We start from the raw sequence: 18,475 nt of genomic DNA, 5'->3' as shown, positions 1-18,475 counted from the left end.
AACACCATTAAGATACTCCATGAGAAGATCAACCCCAAGACACATAATTGCCAGATTCTCTGAAGTTAAAATGAAGGAAAACCTGTTAAGGGCAGCCAGAGAGAAAGGCCAGGTCACATACAAAGGGAAGCCCATCAGACTAACAGCCGACATCTCACAGAAACTCTATAAGCCAGAAGAGATTGAGGGTCAATATTCAACATTCTTAAAGAAAATAATTTTCAACCCAGAATTTCATATCCAGCCAAACTAAGCTTCATAAGCGAAGGAGAAATAAAATCCTTTCCAGACAAGCAAATGCTGAGGGATTTTGTTACCACCAGGCCTGCTCTGCAACAGCTCCTGAAAGAAGCACTAAATATGGAAAGGAAAAACTGGTAGCAGCCACTGCAAAAACACACCAAAATATAAAGACCAATGACACTATGAAGAAACTGGATCAACTAGTGTGCAAAATAATCAAATAGCATTATGACAGGATCAAATTCACATATAACAATACTAACCTTAAATGTAAATGGGCTGAATGCCACCAATTAAAAGACACAGACAGGCAAATTGGATAACGAGTCAACACCTGTCAGTGTACTGTATTCAGGAGACCCATCTTACATGCAAAGACACACAGGCTCAAAATAAAGGGAAGGAGGAAAATTTACCAAGCAAATGGAAAGCAAAAAAAAAAACAAACAAAAAAACGAAACAACAACAACAACAACAAAACAGGGGTTGCAATCCTAGTCTCTGTCAAAACAGACTTTAAACCAACAAAGATCAAAAAAGAAGGGCACTATGTAATGGTAAAGGGAACAATTCAACAAGAAGAGCTAACTATTCTGAATATATATGTACCCAATACTGGAGCACTCAAATTCATAAAACATATGCTTAGAGACCTACAAAGAGACTTAGACTCCCACACAGTGATAGTGAGAGACCTTAACACCCCACTGTCAGTATTAGACAGATCAATGAGACAGAAAATTAACAAGGATATTCAGGACTTGGAACTCAGCTCTGGATCAAGTGGACCTAGTAGACGTCTACAGACCTTTCTACTCCAAATCAACAGAATATACATTCTTTCCAGTGCCATATGGCACTTATGCTAAAATCAACCATATAATTGGAAGTAAAGCACTCCTCAGCAAATGCAAAAGAACTGAAATCATAACAAACAGTCTTTCAGACGACAGTGCAATCAAATTAGAACTCAGGATTAAGAAGCTCACTCAGTACCACACAATTTCATGGAAGTTGAACAACCTGCTCCTGAATGACTCCTGGGTAAATAATGAAACTAAGGCAAAAATCAAGAAGTTATTTGAAACCAATGAGAACAAAGGTAATATACCAGAATCTCTGGGACACAGCTAAAGCAGTGTTAAGAGGGAAATTTACAGCACTAAATGCCTGCATCAGAAAGCTAGAAAGATCTCAAATCAACACCCTAACATCACAATTAAAAGAGCTACAGAGGCAAGAGCAAACTAATCCAAAAGCTAGCAGAAGACAAAAAATAACTAACATCAGAGAAGAATTGAAGGAGACAGAGACACAATAAACCCTCCAAAAAATCCATGAATCCAGGAGCTGGTTTTTTGAAAAAAAATTAACTAAATAGAAAGACCACTAGCTAGATTAATAAGAAGAGAGAAGAATCAAATAGACACAATAAAAAATGATAAAGGGGATATCACCACTGACCCCACAGAAATACAAATTACCATTAGAGAATACTACAAACACCTCTATGCAAATAAACTAGAAAATCTAGAAGAAATGGATAAATTCCTGGATGCATACACCCTACCAAGACCAAACCAGGAAGAAGTTGAATCCCTGAATAGACCAATAAGAAGCTCTGAAACTGAGGCAGTAATTAATAGCCTACCAACCAAAAAAAGCCCAGGGCAAGAAGGATTCACAGCTGAATTCTACCAGAAATACAAAGAGGAGCTAGTACCATTCCTTCTGAAACTATTCCAAACAATTGAAAAGGAGGGAATCCTCCCTAACTCATTTTATGAAGCCAGCATCGCCCTGATACCAAAACCTGGAAGAGACACAACAAAAAAAAAGAAAACTTCAGGCCAATATCCCTGATGAACATCAATGTGAAAATTCTCAATAAAATACTGGCCAACCGAATCCAGCAGCACATCAAAAAACTTATCTACCACGATCAAGTCGGCTTCATCCCTGGGATGCAAGGCTGGTTCAACATATGCAAATCAATAAATGTAATCCATCTCATAAACAGAACCAAAGACAAAAACCACATGATTATCTCAATAGATGCAGATTGATAGGGCTGACAAACTTCAACATCCCTTCATGTTAAAAAACTCTCAATAAACTAGGTATTGATGGAACAGATCTCAAAATAATAAGAGCTATTTATGACAAAACCACAGCCAATATCATATTGAATGGGCAAAAGCTGGAAGCATTCCCTTGGAAAACCAGTACAAGACAAGGATGCCCTCTCTCACCACTTCTATTCAACATAATATTGGAAGTTCTGGCCAGGGCAATCAGGCAAGAGAAAGAAATAAAGGGTATTCAAATAGGGGCAGAGGAAGTCAAGTTGTCTCTGTTTGCAGATGACATGATTTTATATTTAGAAAACCACATCATCTCAGCCCCAAAACTTCTGGAACTGATAAGCAACTACAGCAAAGTCTCAGGATACAAAATCAATGTGCAAAAATCACAAGCTTTCCTTTACACCAACAATAGGTAAGCAGAGAGCCAAATCATGAATAAACTCCCATTCACACTCACTACAAAGAGAATAAAATACCTAGGAATAGAGATAACAAGGGATGTGAAGCACCTCTTCAAGAACTACAAACCACTGCTCAAGGAAATAAGAGAGGACATAAACAAAGGGGAAAACATTCCATCCTCAGGGATAGGAAGAATCACCATTGTGAAAATGGCCACACTGCCCAAAGTAATTTATAGATTCAATGTTATTCCCATGAAACTACCATTGATATTTTTCACAGAATTAGAAAAAACTATTTTAAATTTCATATAGAATCAAAGAAGACCCTATATAGCCAAGACAATCCTAAGCAAAAAGAACAAAGCTGGAGGCATCATGCTACATGACTTCAAACTATACTACAAGGCTACAGTAACCAAAACAGCATGGTACTGGTACCAAAACAGACATATAGACCAATGGAGCAGAACAGAGACCTCAGAAATAACACCACACATCTACAGCCATCTGACCTTCGACAAACCTGACAAAAATAAGCAATGGGAAAAGGATCTCCTATTCAGTAAATGGTGCTGGGAAAACTGGCTAGCCATATGCAGAAAACTGAAACTGGACCCCTTCCTTACACCTTATACAAGAAGTAACTTAAGATGGATTAAAGACTTAAATGTAAAACCCAAAACCATAAAAACTCTAGAAGAAAACCTAGGCAATACCATTCAGGACACAGGCATGGGCAAAGACTTCATGACAAAAATGCCAAAAGCAATTGCAACAAAAGCCAAAATTGACAAATGGAATGTAATTAAACTAAAGAGCTTCTGTACAGCAAAAGAAACTATCATCAGAGTGAACTGGCAACCTACAGAATGGGAGAAAATTTTTGCGATCTACCCATCTGACAAAAGTCTAATATCCATAATTTGCAAGGTACTTAAACATATTTACAAGAAAAAAAAAACAACCCCATCAAAAAGTGGGCAAAGGATATGAACAGACATTTCTCAAAAGAAGACATTTATGTGGCCAACAAACATATGGAAAAAAAGCTCAACATCACTGATCATCAAAGAAATGCAAATCAAAACCACAATGAGATACCATCTCACACCAGTCAGAATGGTGATTATTAAAAAGTCCGAAAACAATGGATGCTGGCGAGGCTGTAGAGAAATAGGAACACTTTTACACTGTTGGTGAGAATGTAAATTAGTTCAACCATTGTGGAAGACAGTATGGCAATTCCTCAAGGATCTAGAACCAGAAATACCATTTGACCCAGCAATTCCATTACTGGGTATATACCCAAAGGAATATAAATCATTCTACTATGAAGACACATGCACATGTATGTTTATTTCAGCACTATTCACAATAGCAAAGACATGGAACTAACCTAAATGCCCATCAATGATAGACTGGATAAAGAAAATGTGGTACATATACACCATGGTATACTATGCAGCCATAAAAAGGAATGAGATCATGTCCTTTGCAGGGACATGGATGAAGCTGGAAGCTATCATCCTCAGCAAACTAACACAGGAGAAAAAAACATCACATGTTCTCACTCATAAGTGGGAGTTGAACATTGAGAACACATGGACACAAGAGAGGGGAACAACACACACCAGGGCCTGTTGGGGGTGAGAGTGGAGGGGAGGGAACTTAGAGGATGGGTCAACAGATGCAGCAAACCACCACGGCACATGTATACCTATGTAACAAATCTGGACATTCTGCACATGTATCCCATTTTTTTAAGAAGAAATAAAAAGATATTTTGATCATTTTCTTACAATTTCTACCAATTCTATTAGTAAACTAAAATTCCCTGAGAGTTTCCTTCTGGCAACTATATATCAGAACAACTGTTCTTTCATAATAAAAGAAAAATATGCTTGGTGAAAAAAAAATCACTCCACCATTATACAGAGAATATACATGATAGTTGTAGCCAAAAACCTCTTTAAAAGGAGCTATTGATGCTAATCTTGACCACAGAAAAAATTAGTAATAACCTATGAAATATGTCATATCATGCAATTTGCCTTCCTGATGAACTTGTCAGGATGAATTAATTGCAAAATATACTACCTGGTAATTGAGTTGACTGCCTCATAGATAGACTTGTTTGTAAAATGAGAATTATACCTTTTTCCTAAGGTTTGCATGTGAATTAAAGTAAATAATATGTAATCAAGCACTTATGCACACTTATTCTTATTAGGTCTGACACATCCAAATTACCTTTAGTTCTGTTCTTTCTCTTTCCCTTCTGTAAAACCCCATATATACTTAGTTGTTAAATTCTATAGATTTTAATTTTTTGAAGTGGCTCAAAATAGCTTCAATTTTCCATTTGTTATATCTGTAGCCTAGGTACTCACTTCTCTCAAATCTGTTTCAATAGCCCCTTTATTTCATTGATTCATTTATTATTTTTTTGTTCAACAGAATCATGCATCTACTATGTTCTAGGCACTGTTGGAGATGCAGATTGTATTGTGGTGAAAAAAACAGACAAGTCCCCTGACTTCACTGAACTTCTTTTGTATTGGGGGGCTGGTATTCAGCAACTGCACCTCTAGTAAATGCTTCCAAGAATGAGGCAGGGAGAAAACCCAATGGGCCTATTTTCTTTGCCTTACGTCTCATCTCCATACCTTACACATAAAACTGATGGAGTTTTCATCTTGGAAGCATAACTTTGTATCAGTCTTTGCCTCAAAACCCCTCAGTGGCTCTTGATTGCCTTATGAGTGAATACCAATTCTTCTGCCTACTCTTAAGGTTCTAGATTGTCCATAATGTAATACTCTGCTATTTTCTGAGGTTAAGTGGATTCCAGGTGCATTATAAAGATCTCAGATCCTAGCAACACTTCTCACTGTCAATCCAACGTCTCTCTCACTGCTTCTCCAGATTGGGTGAGATATCCCCCTTTGTCCTCCATAATATCTTCTATTATTGCCTTTCCTCTAACATAAAACTCCTTTCCTCCTTTTCTTCCCCAATAAGCTATGTTGAGACCTGTACCAAGAAAACCTCTGCCCTGCTATCATCAGCCTCTTTCCCCTAGGCTCCTCCACCTAGGCTGTACTTCACCACGATCCTATAAAAGGGTAGTATCACCTGACCCCACTAGACTATCATGCTAAGTATTCAGATACATAACTTTTGAACCACTTGCCCACTGTGAAGATCACTCACATAAAATATCACATAAACATTTCCTTCAGTCCATCGGCTCACTGCAAGCTCCACCTCCCAGGTTCACACCATTCTCATGCCTCAGCCTCCTGAGTAGCTGGGACTACAGGCGCCTGCCACCATGCCCGGCTAATTTTTTGTATTTTTAGTAGAGATGGGGTTTCACTGTGTTAGCCAGGATGGTCTCGATCTCCTGACTTCGTGATCCATCCGCCCGCCTCGGCCTCCCAAAGTGCTGGGATTACAGGCGTGAGCCACCGCGCCCGGCCGGAACTTTCTTTATATGGTTCATCAGGCTCCTCTATATTCCCAACCTCTCTTCCACATGCATTTTGAGTTCCTTTCCTTAAAAGCAATCTGACTTTTCCCTGAAGAGGAGTGCCACTGCAGCCCTCTCAAATGAAGGCTGTTTTTTTCCTCTCAATCTTTGATGACTTACAGCCAGGAGTTAGCGTAGGTAACCCCTTTGACCTTAAAAAAAATTCTGGCTCCTGAAAATGTATGCTATCTGAATATATAATCTTTTACCTGTTGATTTCTGCTGCCTGTAGTTCCTGGCTTATTCCTCCCCATCACTTGAAGACTTGAGCTACTGGATTATATAATCTTCATCCCCACCCAACTCCTGTCATCTTTCCTTGGGACTTCAACATCCACATAGATGAGCCATCCAAAACAAGGCAGTCCTCACTTTGCACAGTTCTAGTATGCACTGTGCAATTTTCACTTTCAGAATATTCAAGCAAATTTCATTTACTGTGGTTTAGTTAAATAATACCAGTTCCCCAACAAGGTGGTTCACATTTCAATTATGATTGCATATTAACTTTATGTGAGGAATTGCATAAAGAAGAAAATTCACAGCTAGCTCTTCAGTTCACAGATCACTATGTAAATAACAGATGGGCACTGTCTTAGCTTGGGCTAATATAATTAAATGCCTTAGACTGGGTTGCTTAAACAAATATTTTTTATTGAGGTTCTAGAGGCTGAAAGTCTGAGATCAGGGTGCCAACATGGTGGTTCTTGGTGAGGGCCCTCTTCCTGGTTATGTCCTTACCTGGTCTTTCCTTGGTGGGGGTGGGGGCAGGGGAGAGAGAAAGAGAAGGAATATGAATCTTGTATCTCTTCTTCTTTTTGAAAGGATATTAATCCCCATCATGGGGACTCTGCTCTCGTGACCTCATGTAAATCTAATCACCTCCCAAAGTTCTCACTTCCAAATACCATCACACTGGGGATTAGGGCTTCAATTTATGAATTTGCAGGTAAGGCACAAACATTCAGTCCATAGCAGATATCACAATCCTTCTTTCAGAGTCTGTCAGTTATTGGTCACTGCACAACTGTTACTCAGTTTTTCAGTTTACAAGCAGCAAAGCATGTAGTTGTATAGCTTCCTTGATTCCCAGTGATAAACTAACATGATATTTTACAAAAATGGATCATTAAAAGGGAATTGGCCAAGAAAGATGAAAGTACAGCAAATAAAAAAATAATAATGCAGAAATGAAATTAGATGTGATTAGGGAATTTGAAAATGACAAAAGCAAAGCAAAGATAGGATGAGACCTCGGCCTACACAAAAGGCACCATAGAAGCCATAGAGAAAAAGTTCAGTAAGTAGAAAAAACAAGGTAAGTTGCTTCAGGATCTTTTGGTTTAAATTGCACTAGAAAGAGAATGCAAATTATGGCCGATATAAAGACTTTTTCCTGCTTTTGACTGAAGACTGTAATAAATTTAAATTTTTTCCCAATCAGTCTGGCTAGCATTCGGGTGAAGTGTTGAAGTTGGTTGTCTTGTTGAAAGAAAATGATAATTACAAAGAGACTAAATAAAAACCTTATTCAGCCAGTAAATTCTGGTTTCATCATTTTATGAATTGATTAATGTTAAGAGATTAAAGTGGCTGTGACAAAAGGGTGAAGAGGTCCACAGGAAGTGTTGCTGATACACTTTGTATTAAAGAATTCCTGAGAATAGTTCACAAGATTGAAAATGCAAAGATAAAATGTTGGAAGCTAATCTAAACTTAGAATGCAGAATAACAATTTTTCAAGACAGAAGATTAATAGTATGAGAAGAGGCAAACAGTTCACACTACTATTGGTAAGTTGTTTTGTTTTCTTTTGTTTTTCACAAAGAATAAAGACTGATTCTCCATGTTTCTCATGTTTTAAATTATGGCATACTAAATAAATTAGTTTTACAATTTAAAAAATTCCTGATATGTCTACGTAGCAGTAACAGAGTTTTTGATGTTTCAACAAAAGTTCTTAAGTGTCACAGAACAATTTTAATTTTTCTCTTTGATTATTAAGATCACTTTGCACAATTTCAACTTCCATGGTCATTTTTCTAGTCATGTTCTACCATGCCAAGCTAGGACTGGCTGTATGCTTTCTAATTCCTTAACCAACTCACATTCAGTTGCCTTTTACCCCTCTAGACTTTGCTGTCGCCAATATTAGTATGACTTCTGAAATCTTTATTTCAAGCAAGTTATTCTCATGCAATCATTTCCTGTCCTTCCAGCTCACCACCTCTAGTACCCCGAAGACAGCCATTCTCTAATCTTATTGAAATCTCCAGTTCATTGGCTTTTTTCACCATTTATAGCCCTCAAATTTCCTACCTTGTCCAGCTTAGATATCATGGCTCATCATTATAATCACTCCTTTACAAACAGACTTCAATTTCTTTGTCCCTCTTCCTCACCTGGAAAACCCCTTCCTGAATGAACCCCATTATCCACTTTGTCCAAGCCTGAATCCAAGTAGGTAAACTTGACTGAGAACCTGACAAAGCCAGACCGAGTAGTTTCACTTTAAATTCATGACCATAACTCTCAAGAAGGCAAAACACTTGGCATCCTGGAAACTTTGCTTTCCTGCTGACACACCTCCTTCTTCCTCAGATCTTCTGTATCTCTCTCCCCTACACAACTGTCAGCTGATTTTCCCTTTATATTTCATGAAGGAAAGAAAATATATCAGAAATAAAAATCCTTCAAGTTGGCTGGGTGCAGTGGCTCACGCCTGTAATCCCAGCACTTTGGGAGGCCGAGGCAGGCAGATCATGAGGTCAGGAGATCGAGACCATCCTGGCTAACATGGTGAAACTCCGTCTCTACTAAAAATACAAAAAATTAGCCAGGTGTGGTAGCGGGCACCTGTAGTCCCAGCTACTTGGGAGGCTGAGGCAGGAGAATGGCGTGAACCCAGGAGGTGGAGCTTGCAGTGAGCCGAGATCAGGCCACTGCACTCCAACCTGGGCAACAGAGTGAGTCTCTGTCTCAAAAAAAAACAAAAAAACAAAAAAACAAACCTTCAAGTTTTCCACTCACCTGCTTGCAGCTGCGACCACCTTCTGTCTTTCCTGTTAAATTGGGTGGATTCTGCTTCCTGTCTAATACCTGTGCTCTGGAGCCCATTTTTCCTTGCCTTCTCACAAGCTGCCTTCCAGTAGCATTTCCTCTCTCTGCTCAATCATGGTTTTCTGCCTTCCTACTCAGTCATTCTTTTCAGTATACCAACATGTGCTAATGTCTTCCATCTTAAAAACATCCCTACCACCTCTCCAGATACTCTCTTTCTCCATTACTTTTTATAATAAAACTACACAGAAGAGTTGTCTATACTCTGGCTCCAATTCCTAGGCTTCCATTCCTCCCTTAATCTGCTTTAATTTAGTTTCTGAAACCACCACTTTGCTGAAATAGCTTGAAACAGTCAAGACAGTTAATTACCTCCAGGTTGATAAATACAATGTATTCTTCTCTGCCACCTTACTAACTTCTCCATTAGGAGAGCTGACCAGTCCCTCTTTTAAAACACTCTCTCCTTTCAGTTTACAGTACTTTACACTTAGTTTTCTTTTTTTTCCTTCTCTATCTTACTTCCACAAGTTGAGTACCTTTGGACTTCTTGGTCTTGGGCCTTATTTTCACGTATATCTGCATAATCTAAGTGGTCTCATACGGTTTCATGCTTTTTTCCCCCTTATCAGTATTTCCAGGGCCTAACTCAGGGTGTAACTTAGTAAACAGTAAGGCATTCATTTGATGAATGAATGAATAAATGGTTTTTTTATATCTTCATCATTTAACATAGTTCTTAGTTAATACTTGGCTTGCCATAAAATATTTGTGGAATAATTGGACATTATTGTTATCATACAAATGAGGAAATGGAGGGTCAGAGAGATTAACTAATTTACCTTTGATCACACAGCTAATAAGAGGCACAGCTGGGATTTAAACCAAAGTCTTAACTTGAAATCTTTGTTCTCTCCATTACATCATAGTACCTCCCTACATATTTCATCCTTAACTCCTAGAATCCATCTTCATTTATCTCATTCTTATGCCAAACTGGAACGATTGATGTACCTGAATATGTCTATTTTCCCACCCCTCAGCCTGTTTGGGGCTTGAAACCCAATTTCTACTTCCATTGCACATCTACCTGTGTCTTTCTTACCTGTCTTTAAAGCAGTTTTCAAATTCTAGGTCAACCTTGAAACCTCCATTTTTTTTAGTTGGTAGTAAACTCCATTTTTTTTTTTAGTTGCTAGTTGTTTTCCCACCTAAGCTGCCTTAAAGTACAATTATATATTCGTACCATATTGTATTAGTGTTGAAGCTGCCTATAGGCAGGGATCTAATCTATACAGTGTCTCCTTAATATTCTTCTTTGCCTTGCACATTGGAAGACTGAATCAGTTATTTGTTGACTCCAGAATAAATTTGCATTTGATCTTGTCAACCTAAATAACAGACAGGTTTGCCAAACATGACAAATTTATTTGAAAGTGGGCATTGCAATGTAGAATATGGTGTCATAGTAAACTATAGGTGTATTCAGGGAGGTAAAGGAAGATAAGGGGTTTAAAAGGAAAAACGAGGAGGATTACGTAAGTTGTTTTGAAACAATTATCCTTGGCTACAAAGATCAGTAACAAAGGGGATGGCCAGTCCAAGGTTGGACAGGCAGTTGCTGCGCAAATGTCCTTGAAGCATTTTTTTGTGTAGTTTTGTGGCCTTTGTGCAAGGTTGTGGTTTTGGCAGTCTTTTGTGCTAATTCTTTATATCAGGCAATTATTAGTGAGAACTTTCCCATCACGGCTTTCCCTGACTCCATTCTCTGACAGCTTTCACAATCTAGAGACAGAATCCCGGAGGGAGAGGAGTACCAAATAGCTTAAGAGTTTTTTTTTGTTTTTGTTTTTTTTCTTAAAAAAAAAACCGCTAAACTCTACCCTGATCAGTGAAAAGAATTTAGCTGAAAGATGCAGTTTCTTCTTGGCAGATTCAGACAAGAAGTGCGGCGGAAGCTTACACCTGCACGTGGTGGGACAGAGGCAAGAACGGATGGTCTGGCTGAGGCTGAGAGAACCAAGCTGGATTAGGATCGGCTTGAGGGCCCGGCGTCGTCAGTGGTGACCTCTCTGACCTGAGGCAAGTGAGTCAGGCTGGACTGAGCGTGTTAACGTCGGTGTTTGTCAATGTGACGCGCTAGAATAATCCCTTTATCTTTCCCAACTTTTGTTTGTTGAGTGTAGGCAACTATAATGAATGGAAAGGAAACCGGATTGTACTTTAAATCCGAGAACATTCTCTACTCTCCAGAACAAGTCATCTGCAGGCGCAGGCAGTGGAATCCGTGAGGCCAGCTGTACGGCGGGCCGCCCCGGACCCAGGCTTGGCTCCTCACTTTCCGCTGTTTTTAGTGCGGTCCTACAAGTGCCCTGGTGCAGCCCGAGATCAGTAATAAATGCAGCTGAAATACACCGGCTCCCACGTTCTCGCGGGGGTACCTGCCAGGCCGGCGTCCACGCTCCTCCCCGGCTCCCGGCCGACCGCGTTCTCGGCGGAGGCATCAACCACGCGGGCACGCAAAGCCACGAGGGCCGAATCTCAGCGACTTCTTCCCGCTGTGCCTCCCGCACGCTCCGGGGCGGGCGCCGACAGCCCCCGGGTGCAGCTGCGGATGCTCGGGGAAGCGTGGCCTGGGCAGGTGGCTCCGCTGCTCTCTCGGAGCGCCACCAGCGAGAGGGGCGACCCGAGAACAAAGGCGGGAGAGGAGCGGCGACCGCGAGCGCGTAGAGGCGGAGGCCGCGCAGTCTCCGCGCGACTGCTCCGGGCAGGGCGACCCCCGGCAGAGAGGGGGCGGGGCGGGGACCCCCGGGAGGGGCGGGGAGGGGCGCGGCGGGGGCGCGGAGAGAGGGAGGGAACGAGGGTGACGCGCGGAGGGGCCGGGCCGGGGGCCGCGGGGAGGGGGCGGCTGCGAGCGCGCCAAGTGGCGACGTGCCGGGCCGGGGCGGGCCGGAGGGCGGGCGGGAGGTGGGGCGCGCCGGGGGCTGGGGGGAGCCGCGGCCGAGTACAACGCCGGGCCGTGGGGAGCCAGGCGGCGGCGGGGCTGAGGCGGCCGCGGGGCTGAGGGGAGCGGCGGGGCTGAGGCGAGCGGCGGGGCTGAGGCGAGCGGCGGGGCTGAGGCGGCCGCGGGGCTGAGGCGAGCGAGCGGCGGGGCTGAGGCGAGCGAGTGGCGGGGCTGAAGGGAGTCGCGGCGGCGCTGAGGCCAGCGGCGGAGCTGTGGGGGGCAACGGTGCTGAGGCGGTGGCCGCGGCCGGGCGGGTTGGGCTGACGTGAGAAGCGCCGCCGCCGCTGGGCCTCCTCCATTCCGGCCCGCAGCCCCGCGCCCTCCCAGCCTTTGGCGCCCTCCCGCGCGGGCGGCGCGCTGGCGACGGCCATGGCGGTGGCGGCGGCGCTGGCGGGCCGCGGGGCGCGCGGCGGCAGGGGCCGGCCCCCGGGCGGGCGGGCGGAGGGGGCGGGGCCGGGGCGGCGGGGGGCCCGCGCGGCGGCGGCGGCGGCGGCGGCGGCAGCGGCGGCGGCGGCCGGGACAAGGCGGAGGCGACGGCGGCGGCGGCGGCGCGGGGCGCTCGGGCTGATGGCGGCGGCGGCCGGGCCCGGGGCTGCGCTGTCCCCGCGGCCGTGCGACAGCGACCCAGCCACCCCCGGAGCGCAGTCCCCGAAGGTGAGGAAGCGGCCGGTGCGACCCGACCCTGACCCCGTCCCGGGCCTGGGTGCCGGGGCGTGGGCCCAGTCCCACCGGCGGCCGCCCAGCGTCTCGGGGGCGTGGGCCCAGGCCGGGCGCCGCGCCTGAGACCGGGGGTGGTCGGCGAGGCGGGGCCCCGAGGTGAGCCCGCGGCCTCTAGCGAGCAACAAGTGCGGGCGGGCGGGGGACGCGGCGCGGCTTCCCCGAAGTTGGCAGCCGGCCCTGCTTGACAAGCTTGTCCCCAAAACGCCTCCTCCTAGGCCAGCCGTGGGACGGAACGCGCCCGGGGCCGAGAGAGTTGGCCTCGGAGGGGCCTGCAGAAGCGCGCGTTCGCTCAGCGTTCATTCCGCGCATAGTTTGCCGAAGTGTTTGAACGCTTACTGCAAAAACCGAGTGGCGAACGATATGGAAAATCAACACACTCAGTGAACTTACTGTAATAACTAAGTTAATACGCAAGCGTCCGGATGTTTTCAGCGGAAGTCTGTTAAAACTTTTTACTGCTTGAGGAGGTGAAAAGAAATTGGTGCTTGTGGAGAAAATGGAGATGAGCAGTAGTGTCACGCATCAAAACGTTTTGGTTCTAAAGTTAGGCTAGCAGTTTGTGACAGAAAGTTGGAAGGGAGGAATGATGTTTTAAAAGCCTGGAAGCTTGAAATTGGATTGAAATTAGAAGGCGGTGGGAACTGGAATGCTGCAGAGCCAGCCAGCCTTCGTGCGGTGCGCGGTGTGCCGTGTGCGCGTTGGCAGGGGAAGCCGTCCTGTAGCAGCCTAGCCGGGCTGCGCCTGCTTGGGAGCTTTTCCCGTTGCGCACGTCCACCGTGCTGTGAGACTCATTTTGAAGGTTCCTCAAAGGCTGTCGTCAATGGAAGTAACTAGATTGTAAGACTCTGAATGCACATCCTTGCACTTCCAGCATTTGACGTCTGGCCCGGCACCTGGAGGGCACTGAGCCAGTGCCCCCTGAGTGCATTCTTGACCCCTGAGCCCTAGGAAGGATGTGATGCATAGAAATTCATCTGATCTGTAGTTGGAAACCACCTGTAACTCTGGAAGGCACATCTCTGATTTAGTATGTTTGGGAGTCTTTGAAAACATGGGCCTCTGTATCAGTATTGCGGTTACACGGAAATTCTTACCTTATTCCGTCATGTATTGGGAACAATATTGCTGTTACTACCTCCCTCAAGAAAAAGGCCCGCTGCCCAGATGCTCACTTTATATAATAATGCCTTTGCCTAGAATTTGTAGTAGTAATTTAAAACACTTGATGAAATTGTAGTCTCAGCTTTTTTGAGCACTTTGCATTTTTAACTTTATTTTTGTATATTTTTGAGTGTCTCAACTTTTTAGCTAAAGGAAAATGTTTTTAAGTTTAAGGATATAAAAATCCTTAAAATGCTCACCAGTAAAATAGAAAAAATACTGGAATGTTTAAAATGAGTTATGTTGAAAGTATTGAATATGCAGTGTTGCAGTTGTATGCAGATACTTATGCAAATTTTCAGAGAGTAGATTTAGACTATGCAAAGCTCTTTAATGAAATGCTTATTTTATAAGGACTGAAAAAGAATATATATTTTACTATTTGGAAAAGAACCAGTTAATTCCTAGGAGCTAGAGACATTTGAGACTTTATTATCATCATAATCATCATTTTAACTAATATTTATCAGATAACTCGCCAGTCCTTGTTCTAAGTACTTTTAATATAGTAGCTCGTTTAATCATTGAATTAGCCATGTAATGGGGCACTATTATAGTCTCAAATTTTCGGATAAGGAGATGCTCACAGAGAATAACCTACTCAGCTAGTGAGGGACAGTGCCCAGTGAGAACCCAGGCCGTCCAGCTCTGGCATGCCTGGCCACTATACCATATTGCCTCTTTATATTCTTTTGCAGGATTGCTTTCATTTTAATATGTAGCAAGAGGACTATAGTATTTAGCAAAATTGGATTAGCGTTGAAAGCTATATTACATTAAAAAATTATGATTTTTAGACTTTAAGCCTTGGCTAATAAGTAAATAAATCAATTTCCTAACATCTGATACTTTTTCTGAATGAAATGGTTGAATTTATAACCTTGATGTTCTTGCCACATAATGGATTACATTAAAAATATATAATCTTCTTTAAAAAAAAAATTCCCCTCCCCCTCTCAAGCTTCTTTTTTTGGTGTGTGTGCTGCTATATTATAGATTGATGACCCTTATTAGGGTATATTTTTGCTAAATTTTAGCAGTGTAAGAGGAAGAGTGAATAGTTAGAATTGTTTTCGGTCTCATATGTCCCCTTTTCACAGGGACATAAATGCCTAAAGTAGTCAATTAAAATAGTCCTATGAACCGGCTTCAAGTTGAATTGAGAACTGTAAATGATCCATACATTTTTTTCCCCCTGAGCTTGGGTAGGAGAGTTTGCTTTAATCCTAGAGTGATGCAGCAGTTTGATATGTTTATGAAGAGCAGAAACCAAAGCAGATTTGCATTTACGGGTTCATTGAAAATGTTCTTATTTGGATTGGATTGAAGATCAGTTTTAAATTTTATTCCAGGTCTTGCTCATGCCAAACTCTTGGACCCTTTTAATTATAATATGAAGTTAATACTTGTATGACTAGTTGTCCTTAGACAGTCTTTCATTTATTGAGACTTACTGTTCTTTTATTCTTTCTCTAATTATTATTTTTGAATCTTTTAAATGTATAGGATGATAATGAAGATAATTCAAATGATGGGACCCAGCCATCCAAAAGGAGGCGAATGGGCTCAGGAGATAGTTCTAGGAGTTGTGAAACTTCAAGTCAAGATCTTGGGTACTGTCATTTTATCGGTTATTAATATTTTTTGTGATGTTCCTCTTTGCCTTAACATCCTCTTCCCTTTCCCCCAGCTCTGGCAAAGGCAATTATTAAAAATTGTAGAATATTTTCTTCCTGTTCTATAATGTGCCATCAAAGTTGGTCTTGCTACTGAGTGTAATTAAAAAGCAATTTTATGATAGTAAAATACATACATACATAAAATTAATCATTTTAACAATTTTTAAGTGTGAAATTCATTGGCATCAGTTACATTCACAGTGTTGTGCAGCCATTACCACCATCCATTTCCAAAACTTTCACTACCCCAAACTTTATAACCATTAAGCAATAACCTCCCTTTCTCCCTCTATTTAGCGCCTTGCAACCATCATTCTACTTTCTATTTCCGTGAATACGACTACTTAGTTACTTCATATAAGTGGAACCATAAAATATTTGTCCTTTTGTGGCTGGCTTATTTCTCTTAGAACTTTGAATATCTTCAAGGTTCATCTTTGTAGCATATGTCAGACTTTTTTTCTGTTTTTAAGGCTGAATAATACTCCATTTTATGTATATACTGATTTTGTTTATCCATTCAGATGTTGATGGGCATTTGGGTTTCCACCTTCTGGCCAAGGTGAATAATGCTGCAGTGAGCATTGGTGTTCAGAGTTTGTGTTTTCAGTTTTTTTGGATGTTTATCTAGGAGTGGAGTAGCTGGATTATATGGTAATCCTATGTTTAATTTTTTGAGAAGCTGCCAAACTGTTTTCCATAGGGGCTGCACACCAATTTACATTCCTACCAGCAATTCACAGTTTCCAGTTTCTTCATATTTCTCACCAATTTGTTATTTTTCATTTTTTAAAATAATAGTTACCCTAAAAGGTGTGGAGTGATATTTTATTGTGATTTTGATTTGCATTTTCATAATGCCTACTGATATTGAACATCTTTTCATCTGCTTGGCCATTTGTATAGCTTCTTTGGAGACATGTCTATTCAAGTTCTTTGTCCATTTTTTATTTGGGGTTTTTTTTGTTGTAGGAGCTTTTTAAATATATTTTATATATTAATACTTCATCAAAAATATGATTTACACATATTTTCTCCTGTTCTGTGGGTTGTCTTTTCACTGTCTTGATAGTGTCCCTGTACAAAATTTTTAATTTTGATGAAGCCCAAATTTTTCATCTATTTTTTCTTTTGTTGCTTGTGCTTTTGGTGTCATATGTAAGAATCTACCTTCAAATCCAAGGTTGTGAAAGATTTCTATGTTTTCTTCTAAGAGTTTTCTAGTTAGCTCTTATATTTAGGTTGTTGATCCATTTTGAGTTGTGATATGAGGTAAAGGTCCAATTTTATACTTTTGCATGTGGATACCCAGTTTCCCAGCACCATTTTTGAGAACACTGTTCTTTTTGAAGGTTACTTTTTAAATAGATGGATGCATAACATAGTGTCACTTTCCCATGTCCAATATAGAGGTTGAATTGGCCCATATCCTGAAATCTGTACTCTGTTACTCAGGATGGAGATCGACTGTGATACCCTGGCACCTTCAAACTAGGTCCATTCTTTGCTTCTGGGTTTGTGGAGTATCTGAGAACAAACAGTTACGGTTTATGATATGATGCACTGAGATAATAGGTTTTTAAGAGTTCTGTTTTCTCAGCTATTTATGACTCACTGAACAGTAGACAAGAGACAGAAGTTGATTATTCTTTGGGTGGATGAAATACTGGCTATGCATTTTAAGCCCAAGAGAAAGAAGTCAGAGCTGATACCATCATCACCTTGCTTTGCCCTCATAGGTCCTTTAAACTAAAAATGCCTTCGTTCTTAGCAATTGTGATTCTACGTTCTTCCCAGTGTATAAAAGATGTTATTTTCACATACCTTTTTGACTTGGTAGACCAGATAATTATTTCTATTCCTTGTACCTGTTTTGTAATTTTCTTTGATACACAGGAAGTCAAGTCATAGGAGGCAAATAATTTAAATACTTAAAATAGTTTTCAAAATATCCTCAATAAAAGTGATTAAAAATTAATGAAAGCTACATTTAATGCATAATATGTATTTCTGTACTTAGTTTTAGTTACTATCCAGCAGAAAACTTGATAGAGTACAAATGGCCACCTGATGAAACAGGAGAATACTATATGCTTCAAGAACAAGTCAGTGAATATTTGGGTGTGACCTCCTTTAAAAGGAAATATCCAGGTACTAGTTTATATAATAGATTAATTTATAATTGATAGTAATTCTTTATGATACACTGTCAACTTCTGAATTTTTCTGTAGATTATATTTTATATTCTTGTGCTTGCTGTTTTTTTTTAAGACTAAGGGTCTCATTCTGTAACCCAGGCTAGAGCGCACTGGTGCGATTATAGCTCACTGCAGCCTTGCACTCCTGGGCTAGCTGTCTCCCTGCCTCAGCCTTCTAAGTATCTGGGACTACAGGTGTGCACCACGACGCGTGGCAGATTTTTTTAATTTTTATTTTTTTAGAGATGTGAAGTCTTGCTATGTTGCCCAGCGTGGTCTCAAACTCATGGCTTCAAGCTATCCTGCTGCCTCAGCCTCCTGAATTGCTAGGATTACAGGTGTGAGCCACCACGCCTGGCTGTGTTTCATTTACTGCTATCATTCAG

At 41.8% G+C, this 18,475-nt stretch overlaps 2 protein-coding genes across 4 annotated transcripts in view, besides 5 other annotated features; both read left to right on the top strand.

Moving 5' to 3' along the window:
• Positions 1-11,738, top strand: part of DYNLT2 (dynein light chain Tctex-type 2) — a 26,482-nt gene extending 14,744 nt beyond the window's left edge. For both annotated transcript variants that reach the window (XM_006715554.4, XM_011536093.4), the window contains exon 5: positions 11,260-11,738. The gene's annotated coding sequence lies outside the window, so the exon portion shown is untranslated. The remainder of the gene's footprint in view (positions 1-11,259) is intronic.
• Positions 11,664-12,206: an enhancer, noted in NCBI's record as "H3K27ac hESC enhancer chr6:170124719-170125261 (GRCh37/hg19 assembly coordinates)". NCBI's record gives its function as "activates a minimal SCP1, AML or CMV promoter by ChIP-STARR-seq in naive H9 embryonic stem cells {active_cell/tissue: H9 hESC(naive)}" and the evidence as "EXISTENCE:reporter gene assay evidence [ECO:0000049][PMID:30033119]".
• Positions 11,664-12,437: a biological region, named in NCBI's record as "H3K27ac hESC enhancer GRCh37_chr6:170124719-170125261".
• Positions 12,138-12,437: a silencer, noted in NCBI's record as "silent region_17800". NCBI's record gives its function as "represses an Ori minimal core promoter by ATAC-STARR-seq in GM12878 lymphoblastoid cells {active_cell/tissue: GM12878}" and the evidence as "EXISTENCE:reporter gene assay evidence [ECO:0000049][PMID:35858748]".
• PHF10 (PHD finger protein 10) overlaps positions 12,329-18,475 on the top strand; it is a 20,599-nt gene continuing 14,452 nt past the window's right edge. For both annotated transcript variants that reach the window (NM_133325.3, NM_018288.4), the window contains exons 1-3: positions 12,329-12,984; positions 15,718-15,824; positions 17,911-18,041. In NM_133325.3, the coding sequence (NP_579866.2) occupies positions 12,898-12,984; positions 15,718-15,824; positions 17,911-18,041 (325 nt within the window). In that variant the 5' untranslated portion in view covers positions 12,329-12,897. The remainder of the gene's footprint in view (positions 12,985-15,717; positions 15,825-17,910; positions 18,042-18,475) is intronic.
• Positions 12,508-12,747: a silencer, noted in NCBI's record as "silent region_17799". NCBI's record gives its function as "represses an Ori minimal core promoter by ATAC-STARR-seq in GM12878 lymphoblastoid cells {active_cell/tissue: GM12878}" and the evidence as "EXISTENCE:reporter gene assay evidence [ECO:0000049][PMID:35858748]".
• Positions 12,848-13,227: a silencer, noted in NCBI's record as "silent region_17798". NCBI's record gives its function as "represses an Ori minimal core promoter by ATAC-STARR-seq in GM12878 lymphoblastoid cells {active_cell/tissue: GM12878}" and the evidence as "EXISTENCE:reporter gene assay evidence [ECO:0000049][PMID:35858748]".

The sequence above is a fragment of the Homo sapiens genome, chromosome 6 (assembly GCF_000001405.40).
Source record: "Homo sapiens chromosome 6, GRCh38.p14 Primary Assembly".
Classification (NCBI taxonomy): domain Eukaryota; kingdom Metazoa; phylum Chordata; class Mammalia; order Primates; family Hominidae; genus Homo; species Homo sapiens.
Note: the sequence above shows the minus strand (reverse complement) of the source record. Positions and strands in the feature narration are given on the sequence as shown.